At 38.9% G+C, this 20249-nt stretch overlaps 1 protein-coding gene across 4 annotated transcripts in view; it reads left to right on the forward strand.

Annotated features, from left to right (window-relative positions):
- The window catches only part of ARHGAP42 (Rho GTPase activating protein 42), a 306654-nt gene that overhangs the window by 67662 nt on the left and 218743 nt on the right, over positions 1-20249 (forward strand). For all 4 annotated transcript variants that reach the window (NM_001367945.1, NM_152432.4, XM_011542616.3 and 1 more), the window contains exon 2: positions 15394-15489. Coding sequence is in view for 3 of the 4 variants with exons in the window: in NM_152432.4 (NP_689645.2) it covers positions 15394-15489 (96 nt within the window). In the remaining variant the exon portion in view is untranslated. The remainder of the gene's footprint in view (positions 1-15393; positions 15490-20249) is intronic.

Raw genomic sequence — 20249 nt, forward strand, 5'->3', positions numbered from 1 at the left:
GAGGACTTTACTCTGGATGCTTTTGGTCTCATTCATCTGTTTATGGAAAACTAGCTAAGTGCCTTTAAATACTAGGCCCAAATCTGTTTGTTGAACAGTGAACAAAATAGGCTGACATTTATGCTTTCATAGAATTTAGATTCTAATGGCAGGGGGTGTGGGTGGCAGATTAGTGAGTTAAATATGCTACGGGTTAGTGATAAATGCTAGGGTGTAAGAGTGTGTGTGCACACATGTGCATGCACGCACATATGTGGAGGCTGAAGACAATGCTTGCTCCTGCCCCATCCCCACCACAGACCTCGTAGCAACTGGTTCCCAAACTTTATTTATCATAAAAGTCATTGACCTTGAATCACAATGGGCTGGGTCCCTGCACTACACAACATCTGAATGTGAATGTGAGTCTTAGATTATAGATAATTTTCCATACTTAAAAAGTTATGAGCATATGGAAAAAGCAGTAACAGTATACACAATTTCATTTCTCAGATGTACATCTCTTCTCATGAGTTTTCGTCCTGAAAATACAGAGAGATATTAGTACTATCTTGTTCATTATCTGGAGAGTCCTTGCCAAAATATTGCACACAGTTCCACTGATTGAGCATTTCTAGGGTTCTCAGATGACTTATATAAATAAGCAGCTGCTGGTAGCCATTGTCAGCTCATTGTCTTCTTTGAGTCTCATTGTCTTGTTTTAGGCTTAGACCATCTGCCAAAAACAAACCCAAGGGAATAGTAGTAAGTTGAAGATATCAGGTTGAAGGTATCAGGCCCTAGATGTGCATGAATGAAAAACTAAGAGAGAACTTATTTCTTATTTCCCCCCTGTCATAACAGGGACAACAGAGATCTATTTACAAGATAGGTTTTTCATGGTGTTAAGGTTTTGTGGTGTTCAAAGATAGGAAAAGGAAGTTGAGGCAGTGCAGTATATGCTGTTTGTCTCATTAGGTTATTAACTATTTGAGGTTAGGGATAATGCTTTTCCTTAATTGACAATGTCATGCTCTATATAATGTCATTATTTAATATGACTGATGGAAATATAAAATATAAAGGTACACTATGACTCACTGAATCTAAGTTTCACAGTTTTAATATTTTAGCATTTCTAAAATTGGATAGAGGTCTTACAATATATCGTCTTTGGCCAGGCATGGTGGGTCATGCCTGTAATCTCAGCACTTTGGGAGGCTAAGACAGGAGGATGGCTTGAGGCCAGGAGCTCGAGACTAGCCTGGTCAATACAGTGAGACCTTGTCTCTACAAAAAAAAAAAAAAAAAAAAAAAAAAGTAGCTGGGCATGGTGTCATATATCTTTAGTCCTAGCTACTCTGTAGGCTGAGGCAGGGGGATAGCTTGAGCCCAGGCAGTTGAAGCTGCAGTGAGCAATGATCATGCCACTGCACTCTAGCCTGGGCAACAGAGCAAGACCCTGTCTCAAAAATAAATATATTTTTAAATACAATTTATCATCTTAGAATATATGAACTGTAGTAAATAAAAATGACAGCACCTAAAATTTGTAGTATTTGTGGAACCGATGATAAGAAGTTTTGAAGTAAGCCAAAAATGCTTAGAGAGTTGAAAACGGCATATACATTTGTTAAGTTTTTTATTGAATGGTGACCCAATCATAGGCCGATTACATGCTGATTAAAGCCTGGCATAAATTGTGTGTATCATTTGTATGAAAGTCTCTTTTATTTGCAGTAAGATGATAATTAGAGATAACATGTCTTCCAAAGTTTGGAAAGCTCTACAGCCAGACGTAGTTGCACAAGTTGACACAGTTGGAATTCCTCAGTTCTGGTTGCTAAATAAAAATCTTCACTATTCAGAATCACAGCAGGCAGTTGCTCTCTGTGTACAGATCATTGAAGTGCATACATGTTAATGGCTCAAATAAACAGCATAGCATTTTAGGTGAATGAGTTTTACTTTGTGCTTAGTTTTTAGAATAAAAGATTGAGATTTATTTTTATGCTTTCTGATCAGTATCATGAATCACCCCGTAATAATAAAAATAATACTTTAAACATAAGATGCATATCTTCTTTAAAGACATTTATGGATTTTTATAATAATCATTCCATGTAAATATATAATACATTGGCAGTTAAAATAGTTACGTGGTGAGAATATAGGAAGATCAATAAGAATGAGACTTTTTAAAGTGAGAAAATGGTAAATAAGACATGAAAATTATAAATGATATGAAAATGAAATTTGTATTTGCTACTTAGCTAAATCCAGTATGGTAGAATTATAGGCTTAAAAGGAACATCCATAGTTATTTAAGGTGGTATAGAAAGAGGGTTGATTTTGACATGGCAGATTGAGATTCCTGTCCTGATTCTGTTGTTTGGGTAAGTCACTTAACCTTGAGCCTTAGTTTCCTCATCTGTAAAATGGAGATAATTACCTACACAGCTTCTTTCCTCAGTAGGGTTCCAATGAGATAAGGGCTATAAATATTAATATGATTTGAAAAATCCCATCATGTGCATGTAAGGTGGTGAGATGGCTGTAGTAAGTCAATCTATTAAAAGTGGAACACTTGGAAGTTAAATTAGAACAGAAAAATTCATAAAATAGTATAGTTCACCAAAAATCATCATCTCTATTGTGATACCTTAAAAATGGGGTGGCTCTAAGGGTACATAATGAAATCTGCAATTTAAAAATGCCATTTTTGCCAAAATAGTTTCAAAAATTGCTTTAGTATGTCAAAATGGGGTAGGATAGCAGAAAAATGAAGTCTGTAAACATGTAGGATAATGAGTTTCTTGAAATTGACTCACAAAAAAACACTGTGTAAATGGAGAATAATGATCTTTGTGCCTTTACTTCCCTGGCAGCCCAGGCTCAACCCTGTTTGACAGTGTGCTTTTTTGTTTCTTTTTGGAAGGATGAGGCATGATGCCAGCATTCATCCACATCTTATCCAAGAGAGTGGTTTATGTATTCTTTCAGTTACCATCCGTTATAAAATATTTCCAATCTTTAAGAGAACCTTAGTCATATTGCTATGTGAAAAGATTCTTTTTGACATAACCATACTGTTCATGTATAGCCATGATATTATCTAATATTAAACACTTTCATTTGATCAAAGAAAAATCAATAAAAATATAATAGTGAAGACCCAAATATGCTGTAACAATAAATGTAGCAACTTAAACATAGCCACTTAAGCTATAATCACATTCTAAGTTTGTCACTCCATTTAAATTGTACTTGGGAAAATTTTTGGAGGTTTGTGTGAATGTGTTAACTTGTTTCTTTGCTTGGGTAAACAGATTTTATTATTGGATCCGGGAATGTTTTTGTTAAGGCATGCTGGAATGCAGATATCTATTAACTACTGAGATGATACTTTTTTGAAGTTGTAGTAATAAACCTAGTCTTTGGAGGCAATATATGTATTGCATAACTGTTATTAATGATGCATGATGCTAAACAGCTGAGATGAAAATGCACTTAAGTAAATGATCAATTTACCTTTTGGAATACGGACAGTTTGACTGTGATGATTTTTGTTGTCACTGTAGTTTTTTCCTTGACTGGCAGGCACTGTGGCTGCATCATAAAATGATGAGTTATCTTTTTAGGTCCAGAGAAATAGGCTGATATGTAGGTTTAGTAACTGAGAGCAAATAAGTAACATGTCTTTCCAGTCATTGTTTACCTCTTTAAAAATTAATAGTAATTATAATTATGATAGTTTATCAAGCTCTTACTATGTGCTGTGATGAACTCTACATGCATGATTTCATTTGCTCAGCACAATGATCTTATGAAATAAGTATATTAATATTATTCCCATTTTATAGATAGGTAAATTGAAACTTGCAGAGCTTAAGTAACCTAACTTGGCCACCTAGCAAAACAGAATTTAACTAGTAGTGAGTCTGACACCAATATCCTCACTCTTAATATTTTTTTAATTAGATCTATTTGTGTTAGAAGGTTATGCAAAGAAATAGAAGCCCATGACAGCCTTTTCTTTAATGATTTATATTTGTGAAAAATTTTAGTGTTTTTTTGTTTGTTTGTTTGTTTTTTAACTGAATGCTCACTCCATCAAGCTTGAATAGACCACCAGGATCATTTTTATAGTGGATGTTTTATAAGGCAATGTTGAGATTGTAGGTTAGCAGGTAAAAATGTCCGGACTGCTTTTGTCAGCAGCCAGGTGTCCCCCACTCACCCCCATCACCCTGCAGCTTGCTAACAGATCTTAAATGAAAGAACCTTCTGGCCATTCTCTCTGGCTCCTCACATCTCATCGGCTTGATTTGATGTCCATATCTTAAGTCTGTGTGTTTGCTGGGGCTCTGGTTTTCCTCTCTTCCTCATAGCACCTTTTATAGCTAGGGGCAAGCCTGTGTCTAGGCACCTGGCTTCTTATCTCTAATTGCTCTCTGCCAATCTTAAAAAGGCCTTAATTTACCTCTCCTAAATACTCTGAATTCCCACATTCAGTTCTGTTTATTGACAGCTTCCTATTTTCAAGGTCCTGTGTTGGGTGCAGTAAAGGCTGGAGGGGTTCTCTGCCCTCCACACCTTGCTGTTCAGGGAGAGTTATAAGATTTAGACACAAAGAAGTATAATAATAAAAGGGATCATTGTCTAGGGTATTTCAGTAGACATACAAAAAAGGAGGTAGAGTACAATAATGCAATATTTCTCAAAGATTTCTCCTGAAGTACATCTAATACGAGAGGAGGGGAAAAGTACCCTCTCGGTAGTCTGGGGACATAGCCCAAACTGGCTGCCTCAGAGGAAATATCAGGTACAAGCTAATTCATATGAAATAGGCTTTACCTCAATATATGCATTTAAAAAATGCAAAACTGTGTAAAATTACTTGGCTTCCTTCTCCCCAATTTTCAAATAAAAGCTGTAGCCCCAGGAAGACACAATAAGAGGGTCCATAGCTTTCTGAACCTCTGACTGCATACCATAAGGCACCCAACATATGGTATCTGTAAATCAGCAGATACATTGCACTGATTGGATTACCCAGGGTAATTTTAGGATTACTTAATCTAGAAACTGGCAAGTTTTAAAGGTACGTTAATAGGACTGAAATTAACCACATGCACCATCCTTAATTAAGTATAGCCAGGAAGCTCTTGCAGACCAGATCTTGGTATCTTAATGTTATTGTAGCCCCTGGATGGTATGATGCAGATTTGCAGTCCTGCAGCTGTGCATACCTCTCTATTTGAAGACGTTTGAAGGTCACAGCAGAGACAAAGGGCTGTTTCTGACGTGCACAATGACTTTGTGGATGTTGAGAGAGTTAAGTTTAGATCGGTTTGTTTGGCTGGCATTTTGAGTATGCAAAGAATAGTTTGAGAGAAAGGATTAGTCAAAAAACATAGAGGAAAGATGACATCTTTCACTAGCCTAGAAGGTAATAGCTTAGTATGTCCTTTAAAATGAAATTAAAGGCTAGGTGCAGTGGCTTACACTTGTAATCCCAGCACTTTGGGAGGCCAAGGTGGGAGGATCACTTGAGGTCAGGAGTTTGAGACTAGCCTAGCCAACATGGTGAAACCCCATCTCTACTAAAAATACAAAAAAATTAGCCGGGTGTGGTGGCGGGCTCCTGTAATCCCAGCTACTTGGGAGACTGAGGCAAGAGAATCGTGTGAACCCAGGAGGCGGAGGTTGCAGTGAGCCGAGATTGCGCCACTGCACCCCAGCCCAGGTGACAGAGCAAGACTCTGTCTCAAAAAGAAAAAAAAAAGGAAATTAAACTAGTAATGATCTAACCACAAATGTATATGACACCAAGAAGGACAGGATGGAGAAAGGAAGTTGTAAGAGCTGGCAATAGGATGATATGTGACATGAAAGATAAGGTAACACCAAATGTCCTTCCAAAGTCATTATCTTGGGTGGATGGATATGTTAGGTAATAAAAGGAGAAATGGGCTGTAACTGAGGCTAACATACTGAGGCTTTCCCTTACTGTTGATAAGAGAGTAAGTTGTAAATGCTTGGCAAACAGTGGGAAGTGAGTGGTTGTACTGGGGCAGTGGTATGGGTGGGTAGGCAGACCAGGAAGCCCAGGCAAAGCAGGCCAGGCCACCCCTGAGTTACTGGGAAGCTTAGGAAAATGAAACTCCTCTATATTGGGTAACTTAGTATTTGTAGTTAAAGAAAAAAAAAAGGTAAAGGAGATACTTCAGAAAATGTTGCTTGGGCTGCCAGCATCTAAACTTAAATGACCACTTAGGAGTGGTTTGCGTAGAGATAACACAGACAGTACTTTACAAAGAGAAACAGTATTGAGGTAAAACATGGTGGCTAAAGAGAAAGTCCTCTGAAGTCAAGAGTCTGAGGAAGAGAAATCTCAAGAGAGGTGGCAGAGGAATTGTTGTTGAGGCAGAAGGAGACTCTAGAGAACGACATTGTGCCACTGTTCTTTACCCACTCTTTTCAAGTTTTTTCCCCAGGGTAGGAAGATGGGTGGTTCATTTTATCCTTTGAACTTTCTGTTTTTAACTTGGGTTGTAGCAAAGTGAAGTCTTTGTGGTTTTTCATTTTTAATTTTTATGGAATTTGTAGGTTTATAGAATCCGGATAAAATCTGGCCAAGTGTTGGTTCCTATTTGTTATTTTTAGGCTGAAATCTTCTGGAACTGCTTGCCAGACACATATCATTTATGGGATTACAAACTGTTTGGTCTTCATTAGAGGCCAGTGCCACTATTTATTTTCACTGAAGCTCTCTTGAAGATAGTAATTTAATACCCAGATTAAATATGTTATGCTTACAATGAAAATATTTCATATTCTGTATTTGCCATCATAATAAATAATGGTTTAATAGTTAACATTTGTTGAGAATCAGTATTTCAAGTTTCTGTTCTATACCAGACACTGTGCTAAGCCAGTTTTATGTAATATTCATGACAGTCTTGCAGAGGATTAATATCTTCCTTTTGCACATGAGGAGCTTACGATTCAGAGGGGCTAAGTACTTGCTCTGAAACACATGGCAGTAAGTGGTGATCCCTGGATTGGCATCCATGTCTCTCTGACGCTTGTGCAGACGTAGTCTGTGACATAAAAGAATGATTGTTTCTAATCAAAGGACTTCTTTCCGGATCTGAGCACCTTCATCACATAAGACATCGAAAACAGATGCTTAACTTAATATGCCTGCCAGAAGGGTGGATGTATCCACTGCAAAGCGGGATGCAGACTCTGAATATACTTCTGCTGTAAAAATGAATGAGACTGCCTAAAGCTAGGCTAACTTGATTTACCAACTTTAAAGTGCCCAAACAACCATGTTGTTCTAGCTTGGAATACAGCACATTACTGTAGTGACGCAGGGTAGCCTGTGCTTTTTTTTGCATTTTCAGGGGAATGAAGAACAGCATCAGGGCTCCACTGTTCTCTGGTAATTCTGTCTTCAGTGATCTCCCGTGGACATGCCCCTTGCTTCATGGCAGTGTTTCTCAAGGCCTTCAAGGAAAGAGAATTACTTGATTTCCATTTCTGTTAGTTACTCAAACTTCCTTCAGCTCAACTCTCGTTTATTGAGTGACTACTACATGCCAAACTTTGTTCTGGGCCCTCTTAATGAAGACCGATTTTTAATATCAGATGACTGCTATTTTTTAGGCATGTATATAAAACAGAAAATAGCAAAGATTGTGTTTTAAAACTTTGTTCAAGTAAATGTTAGGAATGTTTTTTACTGGCAAATTTTCATTGTGTTTTTCTTATACTTTGCCACACCCAGTATTCTTCTCTTCTGACTTTTCTCCATTTAACAATCTGGCCCTCATAGTTCCCTGAGAGCACACTAAAAACGTAACTGTAGTTATTAAAAAAGCAAGGCGTAGTTGATGTTTCCTTGACATATTCTGCTACGTACATTACTCAGTACATTACTCTGCTGTGTAATGTATGTGTTTTTTATTAAGGCTTTCTGTGATATTTGTGTGCATTTTTAGTACCACGAGCTTTTCAGTAGTTTATAGTGATTTTTTTTTTTTTTTTTTTTTTTTTTGAGATGGAGTTTTGCTGTTGTTGCCCAGGCTAGAGTGCAATGGCATGATCTCGGCTCACCACAACCTCCTCCTCCCAGGTTCAAGCAATTCTCATGCCTCAGCCTCCCGAGTATCTGGGATACAGGCATGCGCTACCATGCCCAGCTAATTTTTTTGTATTTTTAGTAGAGATGAGGTTTCACCATGTTGGTCAGGCTGGTCTTGAATTTCCGACCTCAGGTGATCCAACCACCTCGGCCTCCCAAAGTGCTGGGATTATGGACGTGAGCCACTATGCCCAGCTGTTTATAGTGAATTCTTAATGTTAAGAATGTTTTGCCAGTTAGTTTACATTTCTTTCTTTCACTCTTTTTCAGGTATCTGCTTTCTATTAGGCACTAAGGGCAAAAACAGATGAATATATACCTACCTTCAAGAAGCCTAAAACCTAAGATGTTATTCAGTGTGGCATTAGAAAGTAGAGGAATGAGCATACATTTCCTTTGTCTTTTTAAAAATTTATTTATTTGAGACAGAGTCTTGCTGTGTCTCCTAGGCTGGAGTGCAGTGGCATGATCTTGACTGGCTGCAACCTCCGCCCCCCGGGTTCAAGCAATTCTCCTGCCTCAGCCTCCCAAGTAGCTGGGATTACAGGTGCATGCACTACTGCACCCAGCTAATTTTTGTATTTTCAGTAGAGATGGGGTTTCCCCATGTTGGCCAGGCTGGTCTCGAACTTCTGATTTCAGGTGATCCACCTGCCTCAGCCTCCCAAAGTGCTGGGATTACAGGCGTGAGCCACCGTGCCCGGCTCCTTTGTCTTTTAACATGGTGTTTTATAATGACCATTTTATGTGCATTTGCTGGTAGATTATTCCATGTTCAGCATAGCTAGCTAGCTCTCATAGAGTCCAACACATGAAGTCTTGCTATTTTAAAATTTATATAGCAGGTAAAGGATTCGTTAAATGTTGTAAGGCTCATAGCCTTCCCAGTTCTTCTTCCTCTTCCTTCTCCTCCTCCTCCCCCTCTTCTTCTTCTTCTTCTTCTTTTTTTTTTTTTTTTGAGACAAGTCTCACTCTGTTACCCAGGCTACAGTATAATGGTATGATCACAGCACACTGCAACCTTGAACTCCTTTGCTCAGTGATCTTCCCACCTTAGCCTCCTGAGTAGCTAAGACCACTGGCACAAGCCACTGCACCCAGCTGATTTTAAATCATTTTTTGTAAAGTTAAGGCCTTGCTATGTTGCCCAGGTTCAATTTCAACTCTTGGCTCCAAGTGATCCTCCTGCCTCAGCCTCCCAAAGCGTTGAGATTACAGGCATGAGCCAATATGCCTAGCCCCTCCCAGTTTTAATGCCCATCATTCTTTGGGGATTAACTATGATATGCCATGAAAGAGCATCCAGTTTGGGAAGCAGAAAACCTATTCCAGTTGGAGTCCAGCTCTTAGACTCCAGGCAAGTTATTACTTAACTTTTCAGAGCACTGGCCCTCATAGCTTTGTGTAAGATTTAAGTATGTAAGAACTTTGAAAAAGTAAGACATCTTGCCAAGACTATTGCTGTTGTTATTGAAAGTGTACATTAAAGCTGCTTGTAAGTAGTAAAACATTGTTGTCATCATCATTATTTCTGAAAGTGAATAACTTATGTTTTACAAGTGACTGTAAAAGCCACATTAGGGGCTTGTAAGAATGTGAAAGGAAAGAAGGGAGGGTAAAAGACATCCAGGGGCTTGGAGTATTTACCCAATTTGCAGAAATTGATGGTTTCAACAAAAGAGCTGTTGTTTACAAGGTAGGGTCTTGGATACTTGGTTAGTGTTCATAGATGGTAAAGTTTCCTACCGTTAATATACTACTTAATATAAAGTGGGTAGGTTAGGTTTACAAATCAGTGAGATAAAGGTGAAAGCATCACCAGAGAATCCCAACATAATGGGCAGTTAAAGGCAGAGATAGTGTCATGTTGAAAGGGGTCAGAAAGAGCTTTTTGGAAAAAATGAGGACTTGAGGAGGACTTGAGAGAAATCTTGAAAAAAGGCCTTTTTTTTGGCAACGGAGAATGAGAGAAAAGTATGTTCTAAGTAGGTAGAGTAACAATAAAAACATAGATACAAAAGAATAGCAGGCTTGTTTCAGACAATAACCAGTACCTTAGCTTGGTAGGAGTTTTTATAGATATGGTTGAGTATGTACGTGGAAGCTACCCTTTGGAAGATTCTAGACATATTGTTTTAGCCTTGCTGATGCATTGTTACATCTTTCAAGTCCCTGTTCTTAGGGAGTCTTCTAACAACTCTACCCCTACACACTCAATCCAAACTGATGTGCCTTTTTATTTGCCACCTTTATTTAAGGTCTATGGGCAAAGCAGTGTGGCAATGTGGTGAACTGGGGATTCTGGAGCTGGCGCCCTGGGTTGGAATTTTGGTTCTGCTTTTCCTAGCTTGTGTGACCTTGGGGAAGTCACTTAACTTATCTGTGCCTCAGTTTCTTAATCTGTAAAATGGGTGTGATGGCATCTAGTTCTTGCGGCTATTGTGAGGACTAATGGGTTAATTTATATTAAATGCTTACAGAAGTATCAGGTAGTAGGTATTGTTGTTATTAATCTCTGTCAGAGAATTTATCGATTGCCCTCTGTTATGATTAATTACATGCCTCACACCCCTACTGGACTGTGCCCTTCAGGAGGGAAGGATACATTCTATTTTAACCTTTGTATTCTCATTGCTTTATTATGTCTGCCTTCTGCATGGTTGTGAAAAGATGATAATTCTGCAACACATATATCGAGACAGATTGCTCCTGTGAGTCTTCCTTAGATCCAATCCTAGAGAAGCTGGATTTTAGGAAGAACTAACTTAAACTAATGGACTGACTGGTTGTACTTGTTCTGACATAAATATATATAGCCCACTTCCATAACTAACATTGTAAAAGCAATTCCATTAACACTTCCAAAATAAAAGGGAGACCTCAGTTCTTAAGTCTATGTGCAAGAAAAGTTTTAAGTAAATATTTATTTAATTATAGGTATTTTGTATTCCTCTAATGAAATGAAGTTTTAGTGTTTCATTAGCATCATCTAATCATGGAAGCTGGAGGTTAACTCTTCCATATGAAAACACTGTTGACTAATTAAAGCCCAGTGTAACTTCTTTTGAGTTATGATGTGAATGCATGTGAAGACACTTGATGCTTAACTTTCAAGTTAGGCAAATGGGAAGGATGTGGGGTGTGTGTGTGTGTGTGTGTGGTGTGGGGGGCATGTGAAGTATCTTTACCTTGCACAACTTGCTCACCAATAAGTGAATATTGGGTAGTAATAGGGAGAGACACCCCTGTCTAAACTAGATTCTTAGATGGCATGGGATCTTTCATTTTATATTTAAGAGAAAAAGTTGACTCTTTAGTATGATATTTTAACACTCAACAACAAATTTTAAAATTTATTAGGTTTTAAAATCAAGGCCTTTCTATTATGATATGGATGAACTTTATTTAAAAGGTTTTAGAAACAGCTCTTCTGTTTTTTGTGCTGGGTCATGGTTTAGAAACTTTAGTTAGACAATTAGAAAAATATTGTTTCATGTGATTTTAAATTAATGGAAGATATTGGGCTTTCTAATTCAGAATTGCACAGTCAGTAGGAGATGGAGCCAAGATTAAAAGCATGAGCTGGATTCCTCATTTTAGAGGTTGATCATTATTACTGCCAGAAAATATCATAACTTCTTTACCTTGATGGTTTTTTTGACCTCATCATTACTTCGGCATTAGGAAAATGAGAATAAATAGGAAGAAGATCAAGAACCCGAACACACTTGAAGTTGAAAATGTGTCATATTTCAGACATCCCCTTCATTCTTGGAATTATCATTTGAACTAGTTGAGAGCCATATTTTCTTGTATAATCCTGTCTCTCATTATGCTTCCAGAAGGACTGTGAAAGGATCATTCATGCATTCTTAATTCCATCAAGAGTTGAAATAGACACCCATCTCTTACCCAGAAATGCTGAACAATAATACTGTCACGGCTTGATGGCTTTGCAGTGTAGCAAGAAAAGTTGAAACTGCTATCAACAGATTGTCCTGAGCACTTTCCAAGGTTATGTAAGCTCCAAGAGTTGCCATCTTCATAACTGAAACTGAAATTTTTCTTTTTCCTTTCTTAGATATTGAACATGGACATCGTCAACATGTTCTGAGTGCTTTCTATGTGTTTGATGCTGTTCTAAGTTCTTTATCTATATTAACTCATTTTCTCCTTACTATAACCCTGAGAAGTGGTTCCACTTGACAGACGGGATACTGAGGTACAGAGAGGCTATGAAACTTACCCACAGTCATGACACTTAATTATTGGTAGAAGCAGAATTCTAACCCAGTTAATCTGCCTTCAGCACTCATACTCAGTAACTTGACAGAGTAGCTTATAAGTGGGCCACTGTGTTCTTGTTTGGGGATGGGGATTACTGTCATGCATTCACAGTGATCTCTGTGCAGGGACAAAACAGATTACCTTTTTCAGTCAGGGTACGAGGCCATAGGAAGTCAAGAACGGTCTGGGAAGAAATGGGAGGTTGTGTCATGAGTTCCCTAGGACAGAGCTTCCAAATAGGCTCATCTAGGTTTGAGGGAAGTTCAGAAGAACGCTTGGTGGTGGCGAGGAGGGGAGAGAAAGAAGGATATCCATCGAAGGGTTCCCAAGCATCTTGATCTGCCCTTGTATCCCCAGTCTCAACTCTGCTGTAGGAATTACATTTAGGGCTTCAAATCCAGCAGAACATAAGGCCTTTATTTTACACTACATATACAAATAAAGGGGTGTTCAATGGAATGGTTTTCCTAAGTCTCAGGGAGAGCACCCAGAATTAAAAACGAAACTGTCTAATATATGTTTAAAAAGAAAAGCCTGTCTGAAATTTGAAGTCAGTGGTCTACAGAATTGTCCTTGGTGAGTGTGTTGGTAGGTCCTTGGCTGACAGTGGTACAAAATGTGACCTTCGTGTTTGGAGACCTATTCAATCTTGAGTGCCCACGTTGATAGGTACTTGGACTTGGGGTTTCATGAATGTCGGGGCTGCCACAGTAAGTCCTGGCGTTATGTCTAGGCATAGGACCACAATTATTCTGTTAAATAAAAAATATTTTGACATTTGTAAAAAAGGTAAGGAAGACTTTATTCAGGACTATCACAACAGGTGTAAAGACTATGTCAGTAGATGAGAGAGATCTGGCTCAACTCTAAATACAACAATAACAAGTGGGAATTTATTGCCAAGGAGCAGGATGTGGGGCATTGGGTGGATGGAAAATGACTAAGGAGACATCGACGGTAGTAGGATTCTTGCTGAAGAAAGGTGGGGGATGAGGAATTTGAACAGATATTGAGGGTAGGGGATTCTTTCTAGACTGACTTAGTAGAATCCTTGCTAAAACTAGGCTCTGCAGGCCCAGCAAGGGTCAGGGACAAGGTGGAGGCCTAGTCAAGAAGAGGGCTTAAAGGAGCCTGACTAAAATTTGGCCAAGGAGGGAGAATTTATCAGTTCCTATTGCTTGATTAAATGTAAGGACTCAGCTATTAGACTTGAACCCATGCAAGAGACTGTTAAATGAAGTGTAGAGTGAATTCCAGAAAATTCTATTTTCTTATTGATGTAGACATCTGTGGCTGGGTTGACATAAATGATCAGAGTAGCTCTGAGAGATGGGATCTTTAAAATTTTCCTGATGCTGCACTGTGGAGTTGATTTACTTTTATTTATTAGACTTAAATAGGGTTTATTAAGTGCCAGGCACAGTTCTAAACCCTTTGCAAATATTAACTCATATAATCCTCAAAACAATTCTATAAGGTGGTTATACCATCTTCCCATTTTATATATAATTATGCATTGTTTAACAACAAGAACACATTTTGAGAAAAACGTCCTTAGGCTGTTTTGTCATTGTACAAACATAATAGAGTATACTTACACAAGCCTAGATGGTATAGCCTACTACACACCTTGTCTGTATGGTCAAGTAGGCTATCCCACCTAGGCTACAAACCTTTACAGCATGTTACTGTACTGAGTACTGTAGGCAGTTGTAACACAGTGGTAAGTATGTATATCTAAATATATACACACATAGAAGAGGTACAGTAAAGATACAGTATAAAAGATTTTTAAAAAGATGCACCTGTGTAGGGCAGCTACAGTATAGTCTAATGTAACTACTGTGGTGTATGTTTTTATGTGGTGCTTGACTGTGTGAGGAAACAAAGGCCCAGAGGAGTTAAATAATTTGTCCAAGGTCACATAGCAAGTAAGTGGTGGGGCTTGGATTTCCACCCAGGCAGCCTGGCTCCAGAGTCTGCATTCTTAATCACTCGGTTAGGTTGCATCCTGGGCTGTTGACTCCCAGGGATTTACTTCTTATTATTCTGGGCTTTTCTTTTTCAGCCCATAAATAAAGAATTCTTTTTCTGGGTTTAGTCAGACTCTGGGCCTTGTTCAGACTGAAGTCAGGATTGCAGAGTATGTTTAACTTGAGTCTCAAAGTTATTTGTAAACAGCCTTTCAGGTCATCTTTTACCTTCTTGAAGAAAATCAGTAGTTTATTGGTAAAAACACATTTTCTACTTTTTCCACAGTTTATGCAGAATATTATTGGTGACTTTTTCTAATCAACTGTTGGCTTTTTTCCCGTCACCAGCAAGCTCAGTAGCATTCCTTCTTTTTTTTTTTTTTTTTTTTTTTTTTTTTTTAAGAAAAAATGCTCCAGTAGCTGAACAATGAGAACATATGGCCACAGGGAGGGGAACAACATACACTGGGGCCTGTTTGGCCAGGGGGAGGTGTAGGGGGATGGAGAGCATCGGGAAAAATAGCTCAATGCATGCTGAGGTTAATACCTAGGTGATGGGTTGATAGGTGCAGCAAACCACTATAACACACGTTTACCTATGTAACAAAACTGCACATCCTGGCTGTGTATCCTGGAACTTGAAATAAAATAAAATAAAAATGCTCCATTTATGGTGAGTGAGTGGTAGTTCCTTGATAAAGGCTTTGGTAAACTGACTTCCAGATAATACACATCTGCCACCAAAACTCTCTTAAAGCAGTAAATCTCCACTGTGTAGATCAGACCAGATCCATTTTCAGTATTTATAGTGTCTTTAAATTTTGGTTAAATTAGTCAAACTGGTATTTTAAAGGATTCTGGTTAAATTAGTCAAACTGGTATTAAAGGATTCTGGTTCATATAATACAAAATCAAAGTTATATAATTTTACATTTGGAAACTCATTCGGATTCAGTGGAACCTCACCTTATGGATTTTTTGCTTAACTTTTACTTGCAGATCTGTCTATGGCAGTGCAGAAATTTTCCCAGTCATTGCAAGATTTCCAGTTTGAATGTATTGGTGATGCTGAAACAGATGATGAAATTAGTATTGGTAAGTACTACTGTTTTAGAAAGTTCTATTACTAATATTTATTTTACTGAAATCAAATAGACACACACCTAAATAATAAACATGTAAAATATTTTCTGACTTTGACAATACTATAAGAGTGATTTTAGGTTTCTATGGAAGAAATTTTTTCTTTTTGGAGACAGAGTCTCTCTCTGTCACCCAGGCTGGAGTGCAGTGGCGTAATCTTGACTCACTGCAACCTCTGCCTCCCGGGTTCAAGTGGTTCTCCTGTCTCAGCCTCCTGAGTAGCTGGGATTACAGGCATCTGCCACCATGCCCAGCTAATTTTTTGTATTTTTAGTAGACACAGGATTTCACCATTTTGGTCAGCCTGGTCTCGAACTCTTGACCTCAGGTGATCCACCCGCCTCGACCTCCCAAAGTGTTGGGATTACTGGCGTGAGCCACTGCGCTTGGCCTAAAGAAAATATTATAAATTGTTTTTAAATCGAAGCTCTGTGTTTGTTTGTTTGTTGTTTCCATAAGGAAATGACTTAATCATTCTATAACTCAGGTCAGCCGAGCTTTGAATTATTCGTTCAAACAAATATATATTAGGTATCTACTATTAAATATACCAGGCACTGGTTTAAAAAATTATCTTCCTTTTTTTTCTTAATACTGGTTTCTTTTTTAATGTGAATATTTGTTTTTAAAGAAAACAAATCAGCTATGATTCCCTAAACCAGTGTTGTTGCAGATGCAGAACATTACTGCGGATCAGGAGACTTGAACCCTAATCTGACGTTGCCTCAGTAATTTGGCAATGTGTCCCTGGGGAAACCATGCTCCTTTCTGAAACAGAAGGATTCATCTCCCATAAAATGAAGAGGTCGTGTTATATGAACTCTGAAGTTTTATCTATATCTGACTTTTTATTGTTTGAAGGTCTGATTCTTATAACTCCCTCCACCCCCACCTTTTAAAGACCTCTACATTTTCCAGCTTATAGATGTGTGGTCCCTTTGTAGGCTGGATTAGAGATATGTCATATAATGAAAAGAGTATATAAAATATTTATGTATATTTTAGAGGATATTACTAAGTGTACCCTACTTCTGGGTGTAAAAATACAATACTACAAACACTTAAGAACAGTGACCAGTGATTGCCCAACTTTAATGTCTGTAGGAAACATCTGGAATTTTTTTTTTTTTGAGACAGAGTCTTGCTCTGTCGCCCAGGCTGGAGTGCAGTGGCACGATCTCGGCTCACTGCACCCTCCGCTTCCCATGTTCAAGCAATTCTCCTGCCTCAGCCTCCCAAGTAGATGGGACTACAGGCACCCGCCACCATGCCTGGCTAATTTTTTTTTGTACTTTTAGTAGAGACGGGGTTTCACTATGTTGGCCAGGTGGTCTTGAACTCCTGACCTTGTGATCCACCCGCCTTGGCCTCCCAAAGTGCTAGGATTACAGACGTGAGCCACTGCGCCCGGCTGGAAATCTTAATTGCAGGTCTTGGGTTGCGTGTAAGATTCACATTTCTAATAGATTTGAAAGTAATGTCCACACTGCTAGTCCATGGACCACGCTCTGAGAAGCAGGGATTTGTAATCCCCTTCATACCTCTCCACAATCACATTCCTCTTCTTCCTCTGCCCTTTCTTTTTCTTGTATAGTTCTACCAGTTATGTCTGTATTTCTAGACGGTATGTTTTATTAGCTTTGACTCCCTAAGTAGCAAGTCTTAGCACAGACCTCGCTGTGAAACAAAAGGGCAATGTTACCCCCACAAAAAGAAGGCTCTCAGGAGAAGCTAAGCTGAATGAATTTCAGCTTCATTGTGTGGCTTTAGCTTGCCTGCATTCACAAGAGCTCCTTTTGGAGAAATCTCTGGGCAGGGTACAGAGTCCTTATACAAGCTTTCTCTGCATGTGGAATTTACATGATGCATACATCATTGTGATCATATTCGCAGTCTTTCTGAGCAGATATATGCCAAGTGGTCACTCTCTTTGCTTGCCTTTTTAGAAGTGTTAGTTAATTTGAGGGGAGGGTGTAGTGGCTGGTCTTCTTTGGCCCTCAGTTTTGTGATCAAAGATGGTCCAGCCATGCCTGTCACTTGCCTGAGGTATAGTTAAAGTGCCTCCAGGAATAAGGGAGAGCCCTCCCACATGCATGACTTCTTCCTCCTCACAGCAGAGCTGGGGAAGGGCAGCATTAGGGATCATGCACTGCCAACATTTGGAACAATAGTGGTCATTTTGCTTGTCATTTCTTGACATTGGTGATATAAACGTCTGGTCCTCAACATAGGCTTTGTAGTATACACTTAGCCAGGTAAAAGCCTAGATTATATTACTAAAATACAAATATATTAGCATTATTACTTAGAAAAGCTATACCCACATATTTACGTAACAGTTATTTTCACTTAGTTGTTTATTTATTTTGAGACAGAGTCTTGCTCTGTCACCTAGGCTGGAGTGCAGTGGCATGATCTCGGCTCACTGCAACCTCCGCCTCCTGGGTTTGAGTGATTCTCATGCCTCAGCCTCCTGAGTAACTGGGATTATAGGCGTATGCCACCATGCCCAGCTAATTTTTGTATTTTTAGTAGAGATGGGGTTTCCCCATGTTGGCCAAGTTGGTCTCAAACTCCTGACCTCAGGTGATCCACCTGCCTCAGCCTCCCAAAGTGCTGGGATTACAGGTGTGAATCACCATGCCCAGCCTTCACTTAGTTATATTAAGCTATAAATTCCATGAAGGCAGAAGCCAGATTTTTTTCTTTTTCAACCCTTTTAGCCTTAGCGCTTGACCCAGATCCTAATAGTAGACCCTCAGATAAATTGTTCACTAAATGACATAATTTTCCTTATAAACTTTAATATTTTTCACTTATGTACATATTTTTCTAATACAATGATATATATAATTTGGTATTTTTTTCTTTGGAAAGAGGATTATAGCAAATACTCCTGGGTTTCCACAGATGATATAATTTTAATGGCTTCATGAGTTTATTTCATCAGGTTCATATACATGAATTTATGAAATAGTCCCTATAGTATGTTCAGGTTACTTCTGGTTGACCCTTTACCTGTTATTGTTAAGAGTACAGAAAACATCTTTCTGTATGTTTCCATTTCCATTAAGCTTCTTACTTAAAAGACATCTTGAAGTCACACATACATGTAGTAACTGCAGACGTAGGGTTTTTAATCACTATGCTACGCAGCCTTCTAGGCAGATGTTAGGTAATTTCCCCAAGTTGTAGTGAACTTGATATCTCAACAGTGGTTTGTTTGACTCTTTCCACTTTGGCTAATTGAACATTGTTGTGCAGCTGTTGCAGATTAGATTCGAGAGGTGTGAATTGATCAGTAGGTGAAGGCTTACAAGCAATGATTATTACATTAAATTTTAATGCTATGTGGGCTTTGTGAAGTTAAATCTCAGGTTGGAGATCAGGAGATGAAGAATCTACACAAGCAGATGTAATGTTGCTTGCTAATTTTAAATCAGGAGACTTATTTAAACCCTTTGCACTCGGAATCTGATTTAAATAGCAATGCTATTAGGAAAACTTAGAGCAAAATGACTTACAAGTATAAAATATTTCTGGAACAACTCCTGTAAAAATATAGATATGTTTCAATATCCTATTCAACACTTTTTACCCTTTACCTGAGCTCCCACATATACTCTAAACAGTTAAAAATAAATTATGTAGATAATAAAGAAGTAGTAGGAGGAGGCTCTGAAGAATCATTGCTGACCTGGAAGATTATGAGATTACACCAAGCTGTTCTACAAAGGACAATAAACTGGAAAATGTATCCCTGGGACTAACGTGTGTGTCTGGAGTGGGTGGAGCATAAGGATCACGCTTGTCCACCTTCATTGGCTTCAGTTCTACGTGGGACGGTACAGCGTTTTCACTGTCTTTACCTTGTTGAAGCCTGAGTTCCAACGACTTCTTTATTGCTCTGATTTAATGAAAGAGGAATGAGGTAGGGACAGCTGTGACTCTGAGCAGCGAGCAATAGCCCCACAACACTCTCAGCTGGAGTAGGCTTGAGACCTACTGATGACATAGCCACAAAATACTGTGACTTACAAAGAAGCTCATCTTTTGTATGTGGGTCATGTCAGTGCAAAATGACTTGAAAAGTAAGACATCGGCAGGCTTTCTGTGTGTAAGTTGGTGGTGGGAATGGGTAGGAAGGGAAGAGGAAGATGAATAAAGATGTCTGCTTTCATTGCGCTTACAGTGGAAGAGGATAAAAAAAGGTTTTGGGCAAAGTAAGGAAGAGAAGGTGGTGTTATTCTATCAGTATAATTGCCTAATTATGAAAGTTGTTCTGGGAGGGTGTTTGATGTGTAGGCCCATGTCTGGCCTGTACATCTGTCCCAACGCTTCACTGGTTCCCTCTGCCTCCACCCTTTTGGCCTGTGCTTGCTGGGTTTTTTGTTTTGTTTTGTTTTGCGCCAGTGACACACTGCTGGCTTGGAAGGAGGCAAAATGGGATTCGTTGTTCGAGACCCAGTGGGGAATTCCTGTGGCTCAGAGAGCAGGTCAGGACTGAAGTTCCAAGCAGGGCAGTGTCCTGCACTTTTTTTTTTTAGCACCTCCCTTTTCATTGAAGAGCATCAAGAGGCCATTGCCCTCCCTTCTCTAAGGATAAATGAGCTGCAGGTGAGCTTTGGCCTGTTCCCTTTCATCTGCTCACTGCAGTGCTGGGTGAGTGGGAAGTGGCCTATTGAGTCCATCCACATAACTTCCCACAGCTG

Source organism: Homo sapiens, chromosome 11, assembly GCF_000001405.40.
Source record: "Homo sapiens chromosome 11, GRCh38.p14 Primary Assembly".
In the NCBI taxonomy this organism is placed as follows: domain Eukaryota; kingdom Metazoa; phylum Chordata; class Mammalia; order Primates; family Hominidae; genus Homo; species Homo sapiens.